The sequence below is a fragment of the Homo sapiens genome, chromosome 6 (assembly GCF_000001405.40).
Source record: "Homo sapiens chromosome 6, GRCh38.p14 Primary Assembly".
NCBI lineage: Eukaryota > Metazoa > Chordata > Mammalia > Primates > Hominidae > Homo > Homo sapiens.
Genome location: NC_000006.12, coordinates 147403094 through 147425726, shown reverse-complemented (window position 1 = coordinate 147425726; position 22633 = coordinate 147403094). Strand labels below are relative to the sequence as shown.

The following is a 22633-nucleotide window of genomic DNA, read 5'->3' as shown; positions in this document are numbered from 1 at the left end:
ATTTAGCCAACACACTATGAGAAAAACCTCATCATCACTGGTCATTAGAGAAATGCAAATCAAAACCACAATGAGATACCATCTCATGCCAGTTAGCATGGTGACCATTAAAAAGTCTGGAAACAACAGATGCTGGTGAGGATGTGGAGAAGTAGGAAGGCTTTTACACTGTTGGTGGGAGTATAAATTAATTCAACCATTGTGGAAGACAGTGTGGTGATTCCTCAAGGATCTATGTCCAGAAATACTATTTGACCCAGCAATCCCATTACTGGGTATATACCCAAAGGATTATAAGTCATTCTACTGTAAAGACACATGCACACATATGTTTATTGAGGCACTATTTACAATAGCAATGGCTTGCAGCACTATTTCCAATAGCAAAGACTTGGAACCAATCCAAATGCCCATCAACGAAAAACTGGATAAAGAAAATGTGGCACATATAAACCATGGAATACTATGCAGCCATATAAAAGAATGAGTTCATGTCCTTTGCAGGGACATGGATGAAGCTGGAAACCATCATCCTCAGCAAACTAACACAGGAACAGAAAACCAAACACCGCATGCTCTCACTCATAAGTGGGAGTTGAACAATGAGACCACATGGACACAGGGAGGGAACATCACACAGTGAGGCCTGTCGGGGGGTGAGGGGCAAGGGGAGGGAGAGCATTAGGAGAAATACATAATGCATGTGGGGATTAGGGGCTTAAAACCTAGAAGATGGGTTGATAGGTACAGTAAATCACCATGGCACATGTATACCTACGTAACAAACCTGCACATTCTGCACATGTATCCCAGAACTTAAAGTAAAATAAAAATAAAAATAAAATTTTCTAAACCCATCATCTCAATGTAAAATACCTTCTTGTTCTTATTCTGTTTGTTTTCTTTTTTTAACATAAATTTCAAACATATATCAAAGTAGAAATAAAGTAAAATAGTGAACTTATATGTACATAACACCAACAGTAGAAACTTCTTGTACATTAGAAATGTTACTTTTTTTTTTTTTTTTGAGATGGAGTCTCATTCTGTCACTCAGGCTGGAGTGTGGCATGATCTTGGCTCACTGCAACCTCCACCTCCTGAGTTTAAGCAAATCTTCTGCCTCAGCCTCCCAAGTAGCTGAGATTACAGGTGCCCACCACCACACCTAGCTAATTTTTTTTGTATTTTTTATAGACATGGGGTTTCACCATGTTGGCCTGGCTGGTCTCAAACTCCTGACCTCAAGTGATCCGCCTGCTTTGGCCTCCCAAAGTGCTAGAATTACAGGCATGAACCACTGCGCCCAGCCAGAAGTGTTACTTTTAATCTTATCATACATACTCTGAATATTTTTCCCAATATAATTTTTAAAATTTAAGTGTGTTTTATTCTGCATAATAAAATTTTCTGTGTATTAGAGATAAATATTCCTGTCTATTCTTTAGTAGCTTTAATTTCCTTTGTTGCTGAGGAAAATTGCAACCATTAAATAATTGTACATATATTTAGCATTTTCTTCTAGTATATTTATTTATGTTTGTCTGTATTACTTTTGATTTAACCCAAATCCATCTGGAAATTACACTTTTGTTTTAGTTTCTATAGCTTTTTAAAAAAACAATAGGGCTTTGAACAATATCTTTGAAGCTATTGAGAAAAAACAAAGCCAGAAAGAGTGTGGACCTAATTTGTTTATTTAACACTTATTTATTTAGCACCTATTATGTGTCTAGGACTTTTTAGTTACTGGAGACACAAGGCTAAACAAGACCAGTAAAGTCCCTGTTTCTATAGCTTACCTTCTAGCAGGAGAAAGAAAGATACACAAGTTAACGAAAGAAGCAGAAATGAACTTGGCATTTTCAAGGATAAAAAGATGAGCAGCGTGATTTAGGCATAGTTGGGGGAAGAGCAAAGGGCCAAGAGTTTAGATCAGAGAAGCAGCAGGCAGGGGTCAAATCGCAGAGGGTTTTGTAGGCCATGGTCAGGAGTTGGCTTTTATTTTAAGTATTGTGGGAACCCCAGGAAGTAATGTGGTTTGATTTACATTTTTTAAATGTCTTGTTGACTGCTACAGAGAACATGCTATAGAAAGACAAGAGTGGAAGCAGGGCATCTGTCAGAGTTGTAGGGGTAGATGGTAGAGGCCTCCACAGCAAAGAAGAGGAGCAGATGCTTATAGAGGAGCTTTGGAGATGAAGGTGACAGCACATGTGCGCAATTTGAAATTAAGGGGATTCGGGAGGTTGAGGAAGGTGGCTGTGCTTGTGCCATTTATTGAGACAAGGAATACCAGGAAAGTGATGCAGGATTTCTCTTGGCCACTTTTCCAGTCTTGCTTGGGCCCACACTCACCACAGGAGATACCCCGAGTACTCGGCCCTCCAGGCTGCGCCTTGCTCGCAGTCTGGCACAGATCCTGTGGCCACTGCAACTGTGCGCTCAGCCCCTGGTGGTAGGGGGTGTGCGAGTGAGCAAATGTAGGGTCCGGCTGGCCATTCCAAGCAATGGCACAGGAGCTGGGTCCGTGCAGGGCTTGTGGCTGGACCAGGCATGTTGCAAGCAACTCCCACGGTGGACTGCAGTGTCCAGACAAGGGGAGTGTGGTGGTGCCCAGATAGGGGTGCCTGTGACCCTTGAAGCCCCAGAAGGGGGGTTACAGCATGCTAATTAGCTCTTTTAGTCCTGCTGTCTGCAGCCAGATGGATGGTAGCATGTTAACAGCTCAGTCAGTCCTGTCGCCCCACTCTGGCCCAGGGCTCCAGGGCTGGCTCAGCCATGCTGCTGTTTCCCACCACATAAGGTGGTTGCCCTTCACCAGAGGAGGGCAGGGGGCTACAGTGTTATTGCCTTTTTTGTACGCATGTTTGGTGGATCCTGAGTTCTTGTCTCACATCCAAGAAAAATGACAGTCGAAGGGTGGAAAAGAATTTTATTCAGTGATGAAACAGCTCTCAGCGGAGAGGGGACATGAAGTCAGACTGCCTGAAGTCAGGTGGTCTCTCTTCCTGTGTGGCTGAGTCCAAGGCTTTTATGGGCTCAGGATGGGTGAGTTCATGATGATTGGTTTGTGACTAGGCAAAAATGGTTAAAACAAAGGCACCACTCAAAGATGGGCATGACAGTTTAAAAAAACAATTAGGGAAGGGTAGGTATATGTAAAATGAAAGGTGAGGATCAATCAGAGGAAAGCATGCCAAAGGGTAAGGCAGGTTCTTAATCTGGTTGGTAGATTTGCCTGGGACTGGTAACCAGGCTTTAAATTGTCTTCAGCTTGAAGGTCGGGTTTCACTGGGGACCGACCCCATCTGCCTAGAATTTGTCTGCCTCCTGGTGCTATCAAGAGGACCAGGTTTAGGTGAGGAAGGAAATCACAAGTTCTGTTTCTTTTTTCTTTTTCTTATTGAAGTCAAATTTACATAACATAAAATAAACTATTTTAAAGTGAACATTTAGTGACATTTAGTACATCTAAAATGTTGTGCAACCTCCACCTCTAACTAGTTCCAAAGAATAAAAGTTCTGTTTTGAATGTGTTAACTTTGTGATGTCAAATGCATTCCTTCATTTGGAATCCTGTCATTCAGAGATCTTGGCTGAAGAGGTAAATTTGGAAGTCATGGAGCTCAAAGGATTAAATGGGATTACCAAGGGTTTTAGTGTAAATAGAGAATGTGTCATACAATTGGTATAGGAGAAGGAGTTAATAACAAAGACAGAAAAAAATCCAGTGCATAAGGAAGAAAACTAGAAGGTAGTGTTTTAGAAGCCAAGAGAACAAAGTACCTTGAAGGCTGCTGAGAGCAGGGAAGACCTCATTGGATTTGACAACCTGGAAGTCATCAGTAACCTTGACTCAGGCAGTTTTTTGTTTTTGTTTTTGTTTTTTTTTTTGAGAGGGAGTCTCCCTCTGTCGCCCAGGCTGGAGCCATCTCGGCTCACTGCAAGCTCCGCCTCCCGGGTTCACGCCATTCTCCTGCCTCAGCCTCTGAGTAACTGGGAGTACAGGTGCCCACCACCACACCCGGCTAATTTTTTGTATTTTTAGTAGAGACGGGGTTTCACCCTGCTATCCAGGATGGTCTCCATCTCCTGACCTCATGATCTGCCCGCTTTGGCCTCCCAAAGTGCTGGGATTACAGGCGTGAGCCACCGCGCCTGGCCGACTCAGCAGTCTTTTTTTGTTTGTTTTGTTTTTTGTTTTTTGAGATGGAGTCTAGCTCTGTCGCCCAGGCTGGAGTGCAGTGGCACAATCTCGGCTCACTGCAACCTCTGCCTCCCGGGTTCACGCCATTCTCCTGTCTCAGCCTTGACTCAGGCAGTTTTAAGAGAATGAAAGTGAGATATGTGAGAGTTAAGAGAAATAAATTATGGAGACAGTGAGAACAGATAACGCAAGTCATTTTGCTATGAAATTGTGAAACTGTGGAGATTTGGCCCGGGGTCAAGGGAGTATCTGTTTAAATATAGGGGACATTAGAGTCTATTTGTGTGCTGATGACAGGGGAGCAGCTTGTCATGATATAGAAGGAGAGGGAAAGATTGGAGGCAAAGTCCTTGAGGAGGCACAAAAGACAGAATCCCAGGCAGAAGCAGGGAAGGTGTCCCCATCAGAGCCGGAACACTCTTGCTGAGACAGAAGCATGGCAGAAGAGACCAGTCCAATGCAGGTGAGCTGGCACATTGTATGTTGAGAAGATGAGGGAGTTCCCACCCAATTGTTATTTTTATCAAGAAAATAGGCAGAGTTAAGCAGAATGCCTACTCTTTTTCTAGGCCCTTTGGGAGTTGGGATATGAGAAACAAAAGTAGCTTCTACTTTGAGGGTTGCAGCAAGAAGTGTCATCAGGGCATAGTTAGAGCAGCTAAGTCAAGGAAGTGAACCATTTAAGGAGTAGGGAAATATGCTAATGATGGTGCTTTTAGGAGGCACAGAGGAATTCTCAAGGCATGTGTGCATGGACTGGGGGTACCTATAAAAGGAATGGGAGAATAAGTGTGGGAATGGAATTGTGGTGGTGATGGAGACCTGGCTCTGTCATCATGCAGTGACAGAGTGAAAAGGGATGGCTAGGGTGATGGAAGAGACCCGAGGGTGTCTTGGAAAACAGACCGTTGGTTCAGCTCCCTCCAGGGGCTTTAGCTCAAGATGTGGGAGCACTGAGTGAGATTCTCTCCAGCCAGAGGAGACACCTCCCTGGACTCACAAAGCCGTGATACACTTTTTTTAAAAAAATTATTTTATTTATTTACTTTAAGTTCTGGGATACATGTGCAGAATGTGCAGTTTTGTTACATAGGTATACATGTGCCATGGTGGTTTGCTGCACCCATCAACCCGTCATCTAGGTTTTTTTTTTAAGACAGAGTATCACTCTTGTTGCCCAGGCTGGAGTGCAATGGCACAATCTTGGCTCACTGCAACCTCTACCTCCCGGGTTCAAGTGATTCTCCTGCCTCAGCCTCCCAAGTAGCTGGGATTACAGGCATGTGCCACCACACCCAGCTAATTTTGTATTTTTAGTAGAGGAGGGGTTGGTCATGTTGATCTTGAATTCCCAACCTCAGGTGATCCTCCCACCTTGGCCTCCCAGAGTGCTGGGATTACAGGCATGAGCCACTGTGCCTGGCCTGTCATCTAGGTTTTAAGCCCTGCATGCCTTAGGTATTTCTCCTAATGCTGTCCCTTCCCTTACCCCCGCAACCCCCGACAGGCCCTGAGGTGTGATGTTCCTCTCCCTGTGTCCATGTGTTCTCATTGTTCGGCTCCCAATTATGAGTGAGAACATGTGGTGTTTGGTTTTCTGTTCCTGTGTTAGTTTGCTGAGGATGATGGTTTCCAGCTTCATCCATGTATCTGCAAATGACATGAATTTTTATGGCTGCATAGTATTCCATGGCATATATGTGCCGCATTTTCTTTATCCAGTCTATCATTGATGAGCATTTGGGTTGGTTCCAAGTCTTTGCTATTGTAAATAGTGCTGCAATAAACATACGTGTGCATGTGACTTTATAGTAGGATGATTTATGATCCTTTGGGTATATACCCAGTAACGGCATTGCTGGGTCAAATGGTATTTCTGGTTTTAGATCCTTGAGGAATCGCCACAATGTCTTCCACAACGGTTGAACTAATTTACACTCCCACCAACAGGAATGTAAAGGCATTCCTATTTCTCCACAGCCTCGCCAGCATCTGTTTTTTTCCTGACTTTTTAATGATCGCCATTCTAACTGGCATGAGATGGTAAAAGCTGTGATACACTTTTTAAGGGCACCTGACTTTTTGGAGCTCAGCAGTGCAAGCTATGCAATCTCCCAGGGTTCCTAAGTTCCTCAACTATGACATGGAATGGTCTCTCAGGTCCTTTCCACTCCTAAGACCCTGGATTTTAAAAAATTGTTTGCTAAGGGACCACCTTTGTGCAGTTTGAAATACTGCACTGGACTACAAATAGAACTCAAACATATCAATGTCTCTGGCTACTTTTGGTTAAAATTCAATTTCGTTAGTATAAATAATGTTTTGAAGGCAGTGTTGTGTGATGAAAAGACAACAGGAGTTTGGGAATCATATACATCTGATTAAATCTAAATCCCACCCCTTACCAGCTATGCAACCCTGGGCATGTTAAACCTCTTTTCATAAACCTCAAGCCTCAAGCCTCATTTCTCTCTTATAAAATAGTTAAGAATACTAAATGAGAAATTTGGAAAGCCCGTGGCACATAATGAAGGTGAGTTTGCTTGCCTCTTCTGTTTTGAACACGAAAGTCTAAAGATACATTTGTTAAAAACAGGATGGAAATAAAGAGCAAGTGGGACAGAAGGAATAACTAGAAAAAAAGGTAATGGGATATTCTCAAATGAGTTTGAAAGGGGTGAAGGTGGAGCAAGTGGAGCTATGAGGGCGGCTGCCAGAACAGAGGTAGGAGGATGAGTAATAGGCCCAGGGAAGCATGAAGGAAGAGGCATTGAAGAGGCAATTGTGCAGAGGAAGCTAAACATACACATATATTTCAAACCATGGCAATTCATTTGGGAAAGTGAAATTGAAACGGGGTCTATGCAAAATATTAAGGCTGGAGTAACCCATGCAAGAAAGGGAGGTCTGATCAGGATACACACTTGAGTTCCAAGTCAGAGTGACCTCTGTACGGGGGGAGAATTAGGAGCGAGCTGAGAGCAAAACTTCATAACAGGCCTGAAGATACAGGGCTTGGCAGTCAGATGACTGCAAGGCAAGCGGCCTTCAGGTGGGCTCCCGTGGAGCTGCTGAAATGAATTGGATTATGATGTTGGATAATCTTAAGTAAATATATTCATAATTGCTCTGAATATGAGGATTACAGCATGGCTTCTAGTTTGTCTTCTAAAAAACGAGAAATTATCTTGATCGTTGTTGCTGTTGCATTTTACCTATCAGAACCCCGTGATAGTCTGTCGTCATAGTTTTGGAGTTCAAAAGGGGAGTGCAAACCTTGTTGAACCTCTACTTCCATCCTACAGTCATAAAGCCTAAAGTAGAGCAGATCTAAAAAGCGCCATGGCTCACAGGCTCTGCACCCTAGAGGATGAACGGGACGTGCAATGGCAGTAGCCACCTGGAGGGAAGAGAGTGTTCCTAGGGAATTCTTGGTGGGATGGTGCATGCTCTAATCATGTGCTTTTAATAGAAGACCCTCTGAGAAGATAGCTGTCCTACACAAACAGCCTATCACTTGCACACAGTAGAGGCAACTAGGATCCCCCTCTCCACTCTGGGTTTCAGAGCCCAGTGAAAACATCAGAACTTTTGCACTTATGCAGTGATAGCTTCCAAATGAAGCCCAGGTCTCATGTTAAAGGGTGGCTTATGAAACCCCGGGGGAGGTGGATAACAGGAAAGAAAAACAGTAAGGTTTCAGTGAAGGAAGGCAAGTATGTGCTAATAGGAGAAGGTGAGAAAGGCTAATGAGATGTCTAATTCAAAGAATGACCTCATCCAAGCCCTAAGATGTGTGCCTGAACCTGCACTTTAGGGCTACAAATAGAAAGGAAGGGAGCCACTGGTACCAAATATTCTGTGAGGCTTTGGGGCACAGGCAGTACTTGGCTGCCATCTCAGCATGTTGAGAAACAGGCAGCAAGAGAAGCAGCCGCAAACTCTGCCCAGATCCCAGGGTGGCACCAGCTTCCCGGAGACCTCAGAGGTCCCTGCCTAGCTCTAGCCTTAGGAAGAGGCCTAGGGGGCATATATTGGACACTTGCATTTGCCACCAAGTTGATCTAAGTTGGAAAGAAAAACATGATGGGTGCTTTAAGGAGGTTGTGTGACTTGTTTTTGAGTTACCACTGAGTGCCTCAAAAATTACTGGGGAGAGGAAGAGTGGATTTTACAGAGGTCTCAAAGTCCCCACATAATAATTAGAGGCAAGTTTCAGTGAACAATTTTTGTGCATTTTAAAAAATTTGCTTTTTCTGCTTTGCTTTTAAGCTATAAGTTCTTTTAAAACACCAGTGTATGTGACACCAATGACATCATAATGCTTGAAATATTATTTTACTGATCAAAATTCTTATTCAAAAGAAATTTTAATCCTCATGCAAAGTACTTGGGGCTTTGTTTGCTGTCAATGAATAGACATGTGCACACTTCTGATAGAAGAACCGCAAAAACAAAGTTCCATTTTACTCTTTGGCCTAGACAATAGCTCTAAGCGATTTTATAAGAGCAGGACTGTAAGGACAGTCAGAATTTCACCTCATTAAAAAAACTTGTAAAAGATATACTTTAGTTCTTTAGGGTGGTATGAGGTGAGTGGAGAACAGTGTTAGGAGCTATGAGGGTTGAGCCTGTGGAGGTTTTAGAGTCAAAAGATTTTCCTACTTAAATATTCTGAGCCTCAGTTTTCTTATCTGTGAAATGGGAATAGTAACATTACTCAGCCTTGTAGAGTTATTGTGAACAATTAAGTGAAATTGTATATTTAAAGTGCCATTATGGGGCTTGACCCAAGTAAGTGGTGCGTAAGTATTAACCGTCATGGCGTAATTCCAAAGCCTTTGGAACTGTCCTTGATTAAAGCTGTGCAGAAATTGATGAACTCTTTGGCCTGTAGTGATCAAACGTATAGTCAGTTCACTCACTGCCCCTCAAGTTAGCGATTTCCATACTAAATATGCCTGCAGTTCTTAAACATAGTCTACTCCATATCCATCCATCTTCTCTGGTTTTTGGGTTTAGTGTCAATCTTCTGTGGTCCCCTTGGAAATTGCTCTGATTGAGATAAAGGGAAATAATGTATAGGAAAGCATGGAGATCTGGTTCGGTTCTTTTGCTTCTATAAGTGGCAACAGCAGATTGCTCAGAGAAATTCCTTCTTCTTTGGTGGGGTCCTATCCCTTCAGGGGACTGTGGGGACACCAGCTTGTTTTCTCTTACTCTCCTAACTTTGCATCTATGTTCACGAGAGGTATTAGTCTATAGTTTTCTTTTCTTTGAATGTCATTGTCTCACTTTAGAATCAGAATGACGCTGACCACATTAAGTACATGGCGAAGTGTTCCTCTGGATACTACCTTAATGACATCCCACAAATTTTGGTATGTTATATTTTCATTTATGTTCAGCTAAAAATATTTGCTAATTTTCCTAGAAGTTTCCTCTTTGGATCGTGGATAATTTAGAAGTGTGCTGTTTCCTTTCCAAAGGTTTGGAATTTTCTGTTGTCTTCCTGTTATTGGTTTCTAGTCTAGTTATATTAGGATCTGAGAGCACACTCTGTGTGAGTTCAGTTCTTTTAAATGTGTTAAGGTTCATTTTAAAGTCAAGGATGGGGTCTATCTTGGTGAATGTTCTTGTGCTCTTGAGAAGAATGTGCACTTTGCTGCTATGGAGTGAAGTGTTCTGTAAGTGTCGATTATGTCCAGGTTTTTGATGATGGTGTTCAGTTTTTCTATATTATTGCTGATTTTTCCGGTAGTTCTATTTGTTACTGAAATAAGAGTGTCTAAATATGCAATGATAATTGTAGATTTGTCCATTGCTCCTTCAAGTTTTGTCAGTTTTTCTTTTTGTACTGTGAAGCTCTATTGTTAGGTGTATACCCATTTGGGATTATAATGTCTTCTTGCAGCATTGAACTTTTTATGATTCTGAAATGTCTCTCTCGATCCTTGTTGGGATTTTCTTTGCTCTGAAAGTTGTTTTGTCCGATATTAATAGCTGCACTCCAGTTTTCTTCTTGTGTTCTTCTATTTGTTCTATTCAATGAGTTTTCTGCTGTCATATTTTGTATGTCATTTTAAAATTTAAATTTTATTGTCATTAAATTGTCATTTTGTAATTCTTTATATAATATTTTTTGTTGTTTTTAGCTTTCTATTGATTTTAATTGTGTTCATGATTGTTTGTTGGAGTATCTGTAATAATAATAATAAATAATTGCTTTCAAGTCCTTTTTTTTTTTAAGAGATGGGTCTCACTCTGTTGTCCAGGCTGTAGTACAGTGGTGCAATCACAGGACACTGCAGCCTTGAACTCCTGGGCTCAAGTGATCCTCCCACCTCAGCCTCCTGAGCAGCTGGGATCACAGATCTGCACCACCACGCTCAGCTAATTTTTAAATTTTTTGTAGAGATGGGGTCTTGTCATGTTGCCCAGGCCTCAAACTCCTGGGCTCAAGTGATCCTCCTGCCTTGGCCTCCCAAAGTGCTGGGATTACAGGTGTAAGCTACCACATCTGGCTGCTTTCAAGTCTTTATTAGATAATTCTAAATCTTTGTTACCTTAATATTGGTACATGTTGATTTTCCTTTTGATATTTTCCCAGATCTTTAAATGGCATGTAATTTTGGTTTGTATTTTAGGCATTTTAAATATTATGAGATGTGGGGGCCTTTTAAAATTATTATGAATATGTGGATATTTTTGTTTTAGGAGGCAATTGACCAGGTCCGAGTTCAGGCTGCAAGTTCTAACCCACCTTCTATGACCTCCAATTCCAATGTCAGCTAGACTTTGAGATTATTTCCATGTATTCTGTGTGTACACCAATCATTGTTCTCTCTGGGACCCCAGGTTAACTCCACTTTTGAAGTTTTCTGTATACCGATTATGATCAGATTCATGTATGTACTACTTAGGGGTGAGCCCACGTGTTTATAAGCAAATTTCTAGGATTGCTTTGCTGAGCTTCTCCATGTCTGGTACTTTTTTATTTTCTAGGGCTCCTCTATTTGGTCCTACAGCCAGAAAGCTGGGGCTTTATTTAACCTACACTCTCAGAAACTTTTGCAATTGCATCCACATCTGGGGTCAAGTGGTGAAAGGACAGAGACACAGGGGAAAAAAAGCCACTGGAGTTCTCTGATTGGAGGGGAAAATTTCCTCACTTAGAGATTTGGTTCAAACCATCTTCTGTGGTGGCTTCTGCCACTGTCCCCAAAGGATTGCTTCAAGGCTGTGGTATAAGAGATCATATGGCAGAATAAAAGCTTATTGGTATCTGCATTCTCTGGGCATTACGAGTTTCTTTTTTCTACTCTGTGTGCTAGTATTAGAGGGCCACTCCTAGATTTCTTTCTTTATCTAAGTGTCCATTTCCAGGTTTCATGCTAGATTTTTGTATTCAGATCAGGGAAAAATGGTGCCAGATTGATAGCAGCTTAAATTCTATGCTTCTCCCATGACCTGACTGATCTTATTACCTTCTCAGAGTTCTTATATAGTTGTTCCAACTTGATAATTTCCATACTGAACACACCTGCATTGTCGAACATTCCTTGCCTTCTGTCCAGCTCTTATATTTGCATTTAGCTGGAAAGACAAGGTGGAGCAGGCATACTCCATTTTACCCAGCACCAGAGCACACAATTATCTCTTAGAGCAATTAAAAATACGTAAAAAAACCAAATTTTATATTTCCTTTTTTTTTTTTTTTGAGATGGAGTCTTGCTCTGATGCCCAGGCTGGCGTGCAATGGCACGATCTCGGCTCACTGCAACTTCCACCTCCTGGGTTCAAGTAATTCTCCAGCCTCAGCCTCCCGAGTAGCTGGGACTACAGGCATTAGCCACCACACCTGGCTAATTTTTGTATTTTTAGTAGAGATGGGGTTTTGCCACGTTAGCCAGGCTGGTCTTGAACTCCTGACCTCAGGTGATCCACCCACCTCGGCCTCCCAAAATGCTGGGATTACAGGCATGAGCTTTAGCTTTAGCTTTAGCACCGTGCTTTCAGTGCTCTTTAATTTTTGTGTAGGCACAAGTTTATGTCAGATAATATATTTCTTCTGCATAACTTTAACATTTCATTTAGTGCAATTCTACAGAAAATGACTTTCAGTTTTTGTTAGTCTAAAAAATTCTTTATTTTCTCTCTGCAGTTTTGAAATAACTTTTTCTACTTTTTCTTTGTTTTTCAGTTTGGGTGATTTCTATTTACCTATATTCAAGTTCATTGATTGTTTTCCTCAGCTGTGCTGAGTCTCCTAATGAGCCCATTGAAGGTAGTCTGCATCTGTGTTACTGTGTTTTATTTCTAGTATATATTTTTTCAGCCATACTGAGGTATAATTGACAAATAAAAATTCTATAAACTTAAGGTATACAATGTGATGTTTTGATATACATGTAGATATTGCAAAATGATTATCATAATTAAGTTAATTAATATATCCATCCTGTCACATAGTTATGAGTGTGTAGTGAGAACATTTAAGGTCTATTCTCTTAGCAGATTTCAAGTACATAATACAGTATTATTAACTATAACCATCATGCTGTATATCAGATCTCCAGAACATGTTCATTGGGCATAACTAAAGCTTTGTACCCTTTGACCTACATCACCCCATTTTCCCCACCTCAGTCCCTGGCAATCACCCTACACTCTGCTTCTATGAGTTCAGCTTTTTAGATTCTACATATAAGTGACATCATGCAGTATTTTCATTCTGTGCCTGGCTTATTTAGCATAATGTCCTCCAGGTTCATCTATGTTGTCACAAATGGTATGATTTCCTTTTAAGGATGAATAATATTCCATTATATGTGTGTGTATATACATACACACATATACACACCTATATATATGTGCTTATCTATATATCTCTCTATATATGTTCCCTTTTCTTTACCCATCTATTTATTGATAGATACTTAAGTTGATACCATGTCTTGGCTATTGTGAATTATGTTGCAATGAACATGGTAGTGCAGATATCTCTTTGAGATGGTGATTTCCTTTTCTTTGGATGTATACCCAGAAGTGGAAGTGGAATTGCTGGATCATATGGTAGTTCTATTTTCAATTTTTTGAGGAACCTCCATACTGTTTTCTGTAATGGCTATACCAATTTACACTCCCACCAACAGTGTATGAGAGTTCTCTTTTCTCTACATCTTCTCCAACACTTGTCTTTGTCTTTCTAGTAATAGCCAGTCTAACAGGTATGAGGTGATAGTTCATTGTGATTTCCTTGTGCATTTCCGTGATGATTAGTAATGTTGAACATTTTTATATAACTTGGCTATTGGTATGTTTTCTTTTGAGAAATGTCTATTCATGTCCTTTGCCAATTTTTACATCAGGTTTTTGTTTTTTTGCTACTCAGTTGTATGTACTTTGGGATATTAGCCACTTATACATGGTTTGCAGATATTTTCTCCTTTATGTAGATTGCCTTTTCAGTTCATTGATTGTTTCCTTTGCTGAAGCTTTTCAGTTTGATACAGTCTTATTTGTCTATTTTTGCTTTTGTTGCCTGTGCTTTTGGTGCCATATCCAAAAGTCATTGCCCAGACAAATGTCAAGAAGCATTTTTCATATGTTTTCTTCTATCAGTTTTATAGTTTCGGGTTTATGTTTAGGCGTTTAACCCATTTTGGGTTTATTTTTGTATATGATGTAAAATAATGGTTTAATTTCATTCTTCTGCATGTGGATATTTAGTTTTTCCAAAACCATTTATTGAAGAGTCTGTCCTTTCTCTATTGTGCATATGTGACATCTTTGACAAAGATAAATTAACTAAATGTGTGAATTTATTTCTGGGCTCTCTGTTCTGTTCCATTAGTCTATATGTCTGTTTTTATGCTAGTACCATGCTGTTTTTGTTACTATAGCTCTGTAGTATATTTTGAAGTCAGATAGTCTGATTCCCCCAGCTTTGTTCTTTTTGTTCAAGGTTGCTTTGACTATTTGGGGGTCTTTTGTGGTTCAAGAATTTTCCTTGATTTTTTTTGGTAAATATTTCACATTATATAAATTTTATTCTTTTCAGTAATTTTTAGTTATATTTACAGATTCTTAAATCATTACCACTGTCTAATTTTAAAATATTTTCATCAGCCCAAAAGGAAACCTTGAACCCATTAGCAATCACTTCTTTTTTTTTTTTTAAAGAGTTTAAGGAAAGAATATATTTGAACCACATAAACAAACAAAAAGGTATTACATAAGAAAAAATAATGTAACAATTTATGTAAGTACCTAACATATGAGCATGCTCTTACATCTAAAACAAAAGATAAAAAGTAACATTAGTACTACATATATATATATATATATTTGACAAGTGTGCATTAAATAATTCTCTAATATAAAAACATTTAAAATGTGGAGAATACTTTTTCAAGATACAGAAAACAACTGTTATGATAGGCACAATCACAATTCTTATAAAAACATGCTTGCAAGGATAAAATCCACCTGAACACTCATTTTTCACATGTACCAATGCTATAAAAGTGTTAAGCACTGAATATTGCCACCCATTTTTGCAATGTTTGAGTTTCAACACCGATTGGTATGAATTCTGAATTACACAATTAATTACTGTTATTTTTCAGTCTTTCTGCCATGTTCCATATAGAAGGCATCTATTTAATATGAATACTTAAAACAGCAACATTATTTGTAGCAAAGTCACTTCCCTGTGTTCATTTTTCCTTTAAAGGCATTATATTTAGAAAACAGTTATTACAACAAATAGTGCTTTAGAAGATCTGAATCTCCAAATCAATGTGCTCCATGAACGGTAAGTAGATCTAAGAAGCCCTGAGTGAAAAGAACACAAATGTAAAAAGCTGATAAATTTAAAGATTATAAAATTGGTTTATTATAAAAACAATTCAAGAATACCCAGTTAAAATCTTATCCCAATGCTACCCAACACAACCAAGAAGCAGTTAATCACTTTTACATCAGGAACAAGGACATAAAACCAGATACCACATCAAGGCTGTGATTCAAACTCAAAAAGAGAAAGGACTGTTAGGTCTCCTTCAGGTCAGTACAGAAAGTATCGTAATATCAAAGTACTGCTACAACACTGAGGTATAACTGGGCAAATTAAAGTCGAGGAGAAATGAAGATCTCCATATTCTTGTTTTGTGGGTGTACTTAAGTGATTTAAATTCTAGGAACAGCTGCCTTTAATGACAGCAAGATGTAAGACAAGTCTTTATTAAAGAGAAAGAAGTTTATAAGGTTCTTTATCATGGCCCCCCTAAATCTTCACAACCCCCCAAACCTTCCCACCCTCCCCTTAAGCTAAAGTTACTCTGCTGATATATAAGATATAATCTTAATTTGTGGCTACTGGCAAATTATAGGCACTCCTTCCAAGAAGCTTTGATCTTCTGCACATTAAAAAAAAATCCCAACCACATGCTGTATAATTCATATACCCAATTTTGCATTCTAGGTAGAATTTCATTATTACTCTAAAACTCCATCTGCACAGTGGCCATTTCCTCCCAGACTTAATTCAAGATTTAATCTTTCTGCTGTTTTCTTAATAAAAGCCTTAGAGTCAATTATTATGAGTGATTGGCCTATGAACTATTATATACAACACAGTGACTGCATTTTTTTGAGCACTGGAAGTACTTAAAATAAAATTTCTTACTTCCAACTTTTGCACTCCTGCAAAATGAAGGGCCAAAATACTTAGATTTTGTAACTGGGGGAAAAAAATCTATCTTCCCAAGCTGAGGCTTTTCATAGCAGCTTTTGCCAGGAGAAGAGATTTTATGTCTGTTATAAACCCTTGAAAATAAGGGCTTATTCTAGAAATATTGGAAGACCGTTAAAACATAGAGGTGCTAGCCGGTGCCAATTTAATTCACAACCAACTTTTACTTCATAGCTTATATTGAAGAGTTAATTCATGCTCATTTTGTTCCTTTAAAAAATATTCTTTGGGGCCGGGTGCGGTGGCTCACGCCTGTAATTCCAGCACTTTGGGAGGCCGAGGCAGGTGGATCACGAGGTCAGGAGATCCAGACCATCCTGACTAACATGGTGAAGCCCTGTCTCTACTAAAAATACAAAAATTAGCTGGGTGTGGTGGCATGTGCCTGTAATCCCAGCTACTCGGGAGGCTGAGGCACAAGAAGCACTTGAACCCAGGAGGCAGAGGTTGCAGTGGGCAGAGGTTGCGGTGAGCCGAGATTGCGCCACTGCACTCCAGCCTGACGACAGAGCGAGACTCCATCTCAAAAACAAAAACAAAAACAAAAACAAAAACAAAAAACAAAAAACTCTTTGGAAACTGTTATCATTCCTGTAGACACATACTCTAGTTACATAATCTCTTCCTGTAAAAATAAAGGTATAATCATGATTATCTGTATTTCCTTGCTAAATTCAACTATCAATATACATTTATTAATCTGATCACTTTTCCAGCTAACTCATGACCTTATAATATTCTATCCAGGGTCAATTTTCACCACAGAAGTAGGAGCAAGTCTTATAAGTAAGAACAATCTTGAAGGCAATATTTTAATCTAGTCTTTAATGTGTTCATTACAAATGAGAACTACAAACTAGAACTTACTTTCAAAACTAAGGCAAAGGTAAACTTCCAAAGCTAAATGAAGGTAAACCACTATAAAGCTTATTTCTGTCATGGACATTATGAACCTACTCAGTGATTTCCAACCAAGACATAAAAATTAGTCCAAGGGAGTCCAAGGGAGAAAATAAAGCCATTTCTGGTTTGCTCCTTTCCAATTCATCAGATAATACCTATCATATGCCCAGAGGGCGTGGAGCACTCCCCTAGACACTATCCATAGTAATAGCTCTTTCTAGAACACTAAACTACTTCAAATATCTGCGGACTGCCCCAACCAGATTTAAACTACCAGTGAAATATAAACTACTCGCCACGTATTCTAAATGTATACAAAGCGCTACCATTTTAAAAATTAACTGGAAAGCAGGGAAACCTAACAAAAGGATACATTCTGCTACCACACTCTTATAAATGTTATATTTGTGTGTGTGTATATGTATATAAAAGAGAGAGCAGATAATCAAGATTTAAATAAGGTGGTAAAAAACCAGGAAATGAAGATTTTACCAAAACAACTACAATAACCACCACAAGCTACAACTATGAACAGATTCACTAATATGGTCATTTGCCTAGGTTCCGACAAAACCACGTCATTAAGGACATCAGAACTCAGAGTTTCCTGCAGACTTGGCATCATCTCCTCTCCTTCTGTGTTCATTCCATCTCCTTCCAGTGTTCCAAGGTCCACTTTTGTCCCAGGAATGGCTTCCAGGTAGTCTGGGAAATGGTCCTGCTGTGAGGGCAAGGTGCTTTGGTTGATAGTATCACCTGTATCCATCTCATCCACGTTGTTCAGGAAGTCATCTGCGGTGCAAGGGTCACTAGCTGCCCATGCTTAGTCCACTGTCTGTACTCTCATCTCGAGAGTGATAGGTGCCACGGTTAAGGAAAGGATCTGAGCTATTGGCTGTCCTTGTTCTCAATTCCTGAGACATCCTGGGAGAAGACACTGGATTTTGAGTCCCACCGTCCTGCTCCAGTGTTGGTAACTGGCTACGCAGTGCTAACTCCTGCTGAAGCAGTTATTGCTGTTTCAGCTGCAGCCTCTCCTCCATCTGCAGTTGCTGTGGTCGCATCTGTCGCTGCTGGTTGGAGTTGCTGCCACCATGACGCCTCCTTGTGGGCTCTGGGGAACCAGGGGTGGTGGCTGTTTCACTGGAGCACTCTGATTCTCAGGTTCCTGGCAAAACGAGTGTCAAGCCTTGGGTCTAGCCAAGAGGCGGTCTTGTTCTTATGGTTTATACAGTAAATTTATCCATCCTGAGTCATGGCTTGTTCCCATCCATCAGGAAGACGACCTGAGGCCGAGTTCATCATATTCTGCTGCACTGGTGGATTGGCTATAACATTCATCTGAGACAGCATGGTCTTCCTGGGGGTCCTGCTGTGTTGTTTTCTGATCGATGTGATTTAAGAAGTATCTCTGACCAGAAGATGTCTTCGCCATCTCCCGAGCTGCTGGTAGAGGTACATCATCAGGTATCTCAAAAGAAGACTGTTGAAAATGCTGAGCTGTGGGTGTAGCTGCTGGGCCAGAAACTACTCCAGTGGGGGTCAGTGTCCCAGGAGAAACAGCTCCCAACTGCAGAGAAGCTGGAGAGGAATGAGCTCGAACGTGCTGTGGAGTCAGGGCTCCTGCGGTGCCTGCCTCAGTACTGACCCGTTGGGAGTTGGACTTGGGCTCGGGCGGCTTGAAAGAGTCGGGCAGCTTCCGGAGCCTCATGGGCATGGTCTGGTGCACGTTGGCCATCTTGGGGTTCATGAAGGCGTTGAAGAGCGCCTCCAGGTTCCTCTCCCAGTCCCCGCGGGCGTGCAGGATCTGACGCCCGGTGGGGGTTGCCTGTGGCGCCGCCTGGGTCGCCGTGGGCGCCGGGTGCCCTGGTCTGGACCGCGGGCCCTGCCCCTGGGGGGCGCTGCGCCGGTGGCTGCCCTTGGCCCTGGGGGGCCGGTTGAGGCAGTTGCTGCTGCCCGGGATCCATGGCTTCTCCCACCCCTGACACGCACTCCCTGACCAGGCGAGCGAGGGCTCCACCTGGATGCCCAGCCAGCATCATTCACCACCAGTAAGGGCCAATGCTTTCTGTCAGACTGGACAACAGCATCATCAAATCTGTCTAATCAGACGTTTGGCATCAAAAATCGTGTCGGTGGGGTTCATTGCAAGTTGATTCTTTGTGGCATCACCAATCAGTCGTTCAGTGTCTGTAAAGGCGACATAGCTTGGAGTGGTTTGGTTTCCTGATCATTGGCAATTACCCCCACTTTTCCGTGCTGGAAAACACCCACACAAAAGTAGGTGGTGCCAAGATCAATACCAGCTGCAGGTCCCTTCGACATGGTTCCTGGTGTCTAGGCCTGGCTCCCACTATGAAGAAAGACACAGAAACCCCAAGAGCTGCAGGCGAGTTCAGTGAGACCCAATATTTATTTATTTATTTATTTATTTATTTATTTATTTATTTATTTTTGAGACAGGGTCTCCCTCTGTTGCCTGTCACCCAGGCTGGAGTGCAGTGGTGCAATCTCGGCTCACTGCAACTTCCACCTCTGGGTTCAAGCGCTTCTCCTGCCTCAGCCTCCTGAGTAGCTGTGGCCACAGGCACGTGCCAGCATGCCCGGCTAATTTTTTTGTATTTTTTAGTACAGACAGGGTTTCACCATGTTTCCCAGGCTGGTCTTGAACTCCTGGCCTCAAGTGATCTGCCCACCTTGCCCTCCCAAATTGCTGGGATTACAGGCATGAACCACCACGTCCGGCCTATATTTATTTTTTAAATCTATTTTCCTGATCTCTGCCTTTTGAATGCAGTGTTTAGTTCATTTTTATTCACATAATTACCGACAATTAGTTGAAATTCCCTATTTGTTCATGCATACCTTCTGTTTTTTTTCCCTAAAGCCTTTACAATATCAATAATAGTATTTTAAATTCCTTGTCTGATAGTTTTCACATGTGGATCCCATTATAATCTGGTTCTATTGATATATTTTTTTGTTGAAAAAGGGCTTTTTTTAAGCAAGCAGATTTAACAATTGTAAACATATATCCACTCAACAGTGGAGCACCCACATAAATAAAGCAAATATTATTAGAGCTAAAGAGAGAGATGGACCTTAACACAATAATAGCTGGGAACTTCAACATCCCACTTTTAGCATTGGACAGATCATATAGACAGACTGTCAATAAAGAAACATCGGACTTAATCTGCACTAGAGACCAAATGGATCTAATGGATATTTACAGAGCATTTCATACAATGGCTACAGAATATACATTCTCCTGAGCACGTGGATCATTCTCAAGGATAGATCGTATATTAGGCCACAAAACAGGCCTTAAAACATTGAAAAAAAGGAAATAATATCAGGCATCTTCTCTGACCATAATGGAATAAAACTAGAAATTATTAACAAGAGGAATTTTGGAAACTATACAAACACATGGAAATTAAACAATATGCTCCTGAATGACTACTGAGTCAATAAAGAGATTAAGAAGAAAATTGAAAAATTTCATGAAATAAATGATAATGGAAACACAACATACCAAAACCTATGGGATTCAGCAAAAGCAGTATGGAGAGGGTAGTTTATAGTTTTAAGTGCCTAAATCAAAAAAGAAGAAAAACTTCAAATAAACAACCTAATGATACATCTTAAAGAACTGGAAAAGCAAGAGCAAATAAAACCTAAAGTTAGTAGAAATAAAGAAATAATAGAGATCAGATCAGAAATGAATGAAATTGAAACAAAAAAATACAAAAGATCAACAAAACAGAAAGTCGTTTTTTGAAAAGATAAACAAAAATGGACAAATCTTTAGCCAGACTAACAAAGAAAAAAAGAGAGGAGACCCAAATAAATAAAACTAGAGATGAAAAAAAAGAGACATTACAATGGATGATGCAGAAATTCAAAGGGTCATTAGAGTCTACTATGACCAAGTATATGCTAATAAATTGGAAAACCTAGAAAGCATACATAAATTCCTAGATACATACAGTCTACAAAGATTGAACCATGAAGAAATTGAAAACCTGAACATACCAATAACAAGCAACAAGATCAAAGCCGTAATAAAAAGACTTCTATCAAAGAAAGCCCTGGACCCAATGGCTTCACTGCTGAATTTTACCAAGCATTTAAAGAAGTACTAGTACCAATCCTATTTAAGGTATTCTGAAAAATAGAGGAGGAGGCAATACTTCCAAACTCATTCTACAAGGCTAGTATTATGCTTATACCATAACCAGACAAAGACACATCCAAAATAAATAAATAAATAAACAAAACTACAGGCCAATATCTCTGATGAATATTGATGTAAAAATTCTCAACGAAATACTAGGAAACCCAATTCAACAATACGTTAGACAAATTATTCATCATGACAAAGTGAGATTTACCTCTGGTATGCAAGGATAGTTCAAAATATGTAAATCAATCAACATGATACCACATATCATCATAATGAAGGATAAAAACCATATGATCATTTTAATTGATGCTGAAAAAATATTTGATAAAATTCAACATCCCTTCATGATTAAAAAAAACTGAAGATAGAAGGAACATAACTCAATATAATAAAAGCCATATATGACAGGCCCACAGCTAGTATCAAACAGAATGGGGTCTGTAAGATTTGGAAAAAAACAAGGATGCCCACTTTCACCATTGTTATTCAACATAGTACTGGAAGTCCTAGCTATGGCAATCAGACAAGTGAAAGAAATAAAAAATATCCAAATTGGAAAGGAAGAAGTCAAATTATCCTTGGTTGCAGATGATATTATCTTATATTTGGAAAAACCTAAAAACTCCACCAAAACACTATTATAACTGATAAATTCAGTAAAGTTGCAGAATACAAGATCAATGTACAAAAATTAGTAGCATTTGCACATGCCAAGAGTAAGCAATTTGAAAAAGAAATCAAGAAAGTAATCTCATTTACAATTGTAACAAATAATAGTAAATACCTAGGAATTAACCAAAGAAGTGAAAGAGCTCTACAATGTAAACTGTAAAACACTGATGAAAGAAATTGATGAGGATACCAAAAATGGAAGGGTATTCCATGTTCATGGATTTGAAGAATCAATATGTTAAAATGTCCATACTACCCAAAGTAATCTCTATTCAATGCAACCCCTATCAAAATACCTATTATATTCTTCACAGAAGTAGAAAAATATAGTCCTAAAATTTATATGGAACCACAGAAGACCCAGAATAGACAAGCTATTCTAAGCAAAAAGAACGAAACTGGAGGACTCATATTACCTGACTTCAAATTATACTACAGAGATATAGTCACCAAAATAGCAAGGTACTGGCATGAAAGCAGACCCATAGAACAATGGAACAGAATAGAGAACCCAGAAACAAATGATCCATCTACACTAACCTCATTTTCAACAAAGGTGCCAGGAATATATACATATATATATATATTGGTGGAAAGAACAGTCCCTTCAATAAATGGTGCTGGGAAAACTGGCTATCCATATGCAGAAGAGTGAAACTAGACCCCTAATTCTTGCTGTATATAAAAATAAAAATGGATTGAAGACTTAAATATGTGTCCACATACTATGAAACAACTAAAATTAAACATCGAGGAAACTCTTTAGTTTTTGTTTTTGTTTTAGTTTTTGTGTTTTTTTTCCCACAAAAAGCACAGGCAGCCAAAGCAAAAATGAACACATAGGATCTCATCAAGTTAAAAAGCTTCTGCACAGCAAAGGAAACAAACAACAAAGTGAAGA

General features: G+C 39.9%; 1 long non-coding RNA gene and 1 pseudogene across 1 annotated transcript in view; one reads left to right on the top strand and one right to left on the bottom strand.

The window, feature by feature from the left end:
- Window positions 1-4516: 4516 nt before the first annotated feature.
- The window catches only part of LOC124901421 (uncharacterized), a 32513-nt gene continuing 14396 nt past the window's right edge, over window positions 4517-22633 (top strand). The window contains exons 1-2 of the long non-coding RNA XR_007059802.1: window positions 4517-4673; window positions 14949-15029. This is a non-coding gene — a long non-coding RNA (uncharacterized LOC124901421). The remainder of the gene's footprint in view (window positions 4674-14948; window positions 15030-22633) is intronic.
- YAP1P1 (YAP1 pseudogene 1) lies at window positions 17246-18901 on the bottom strand (annotated as a pseudogene).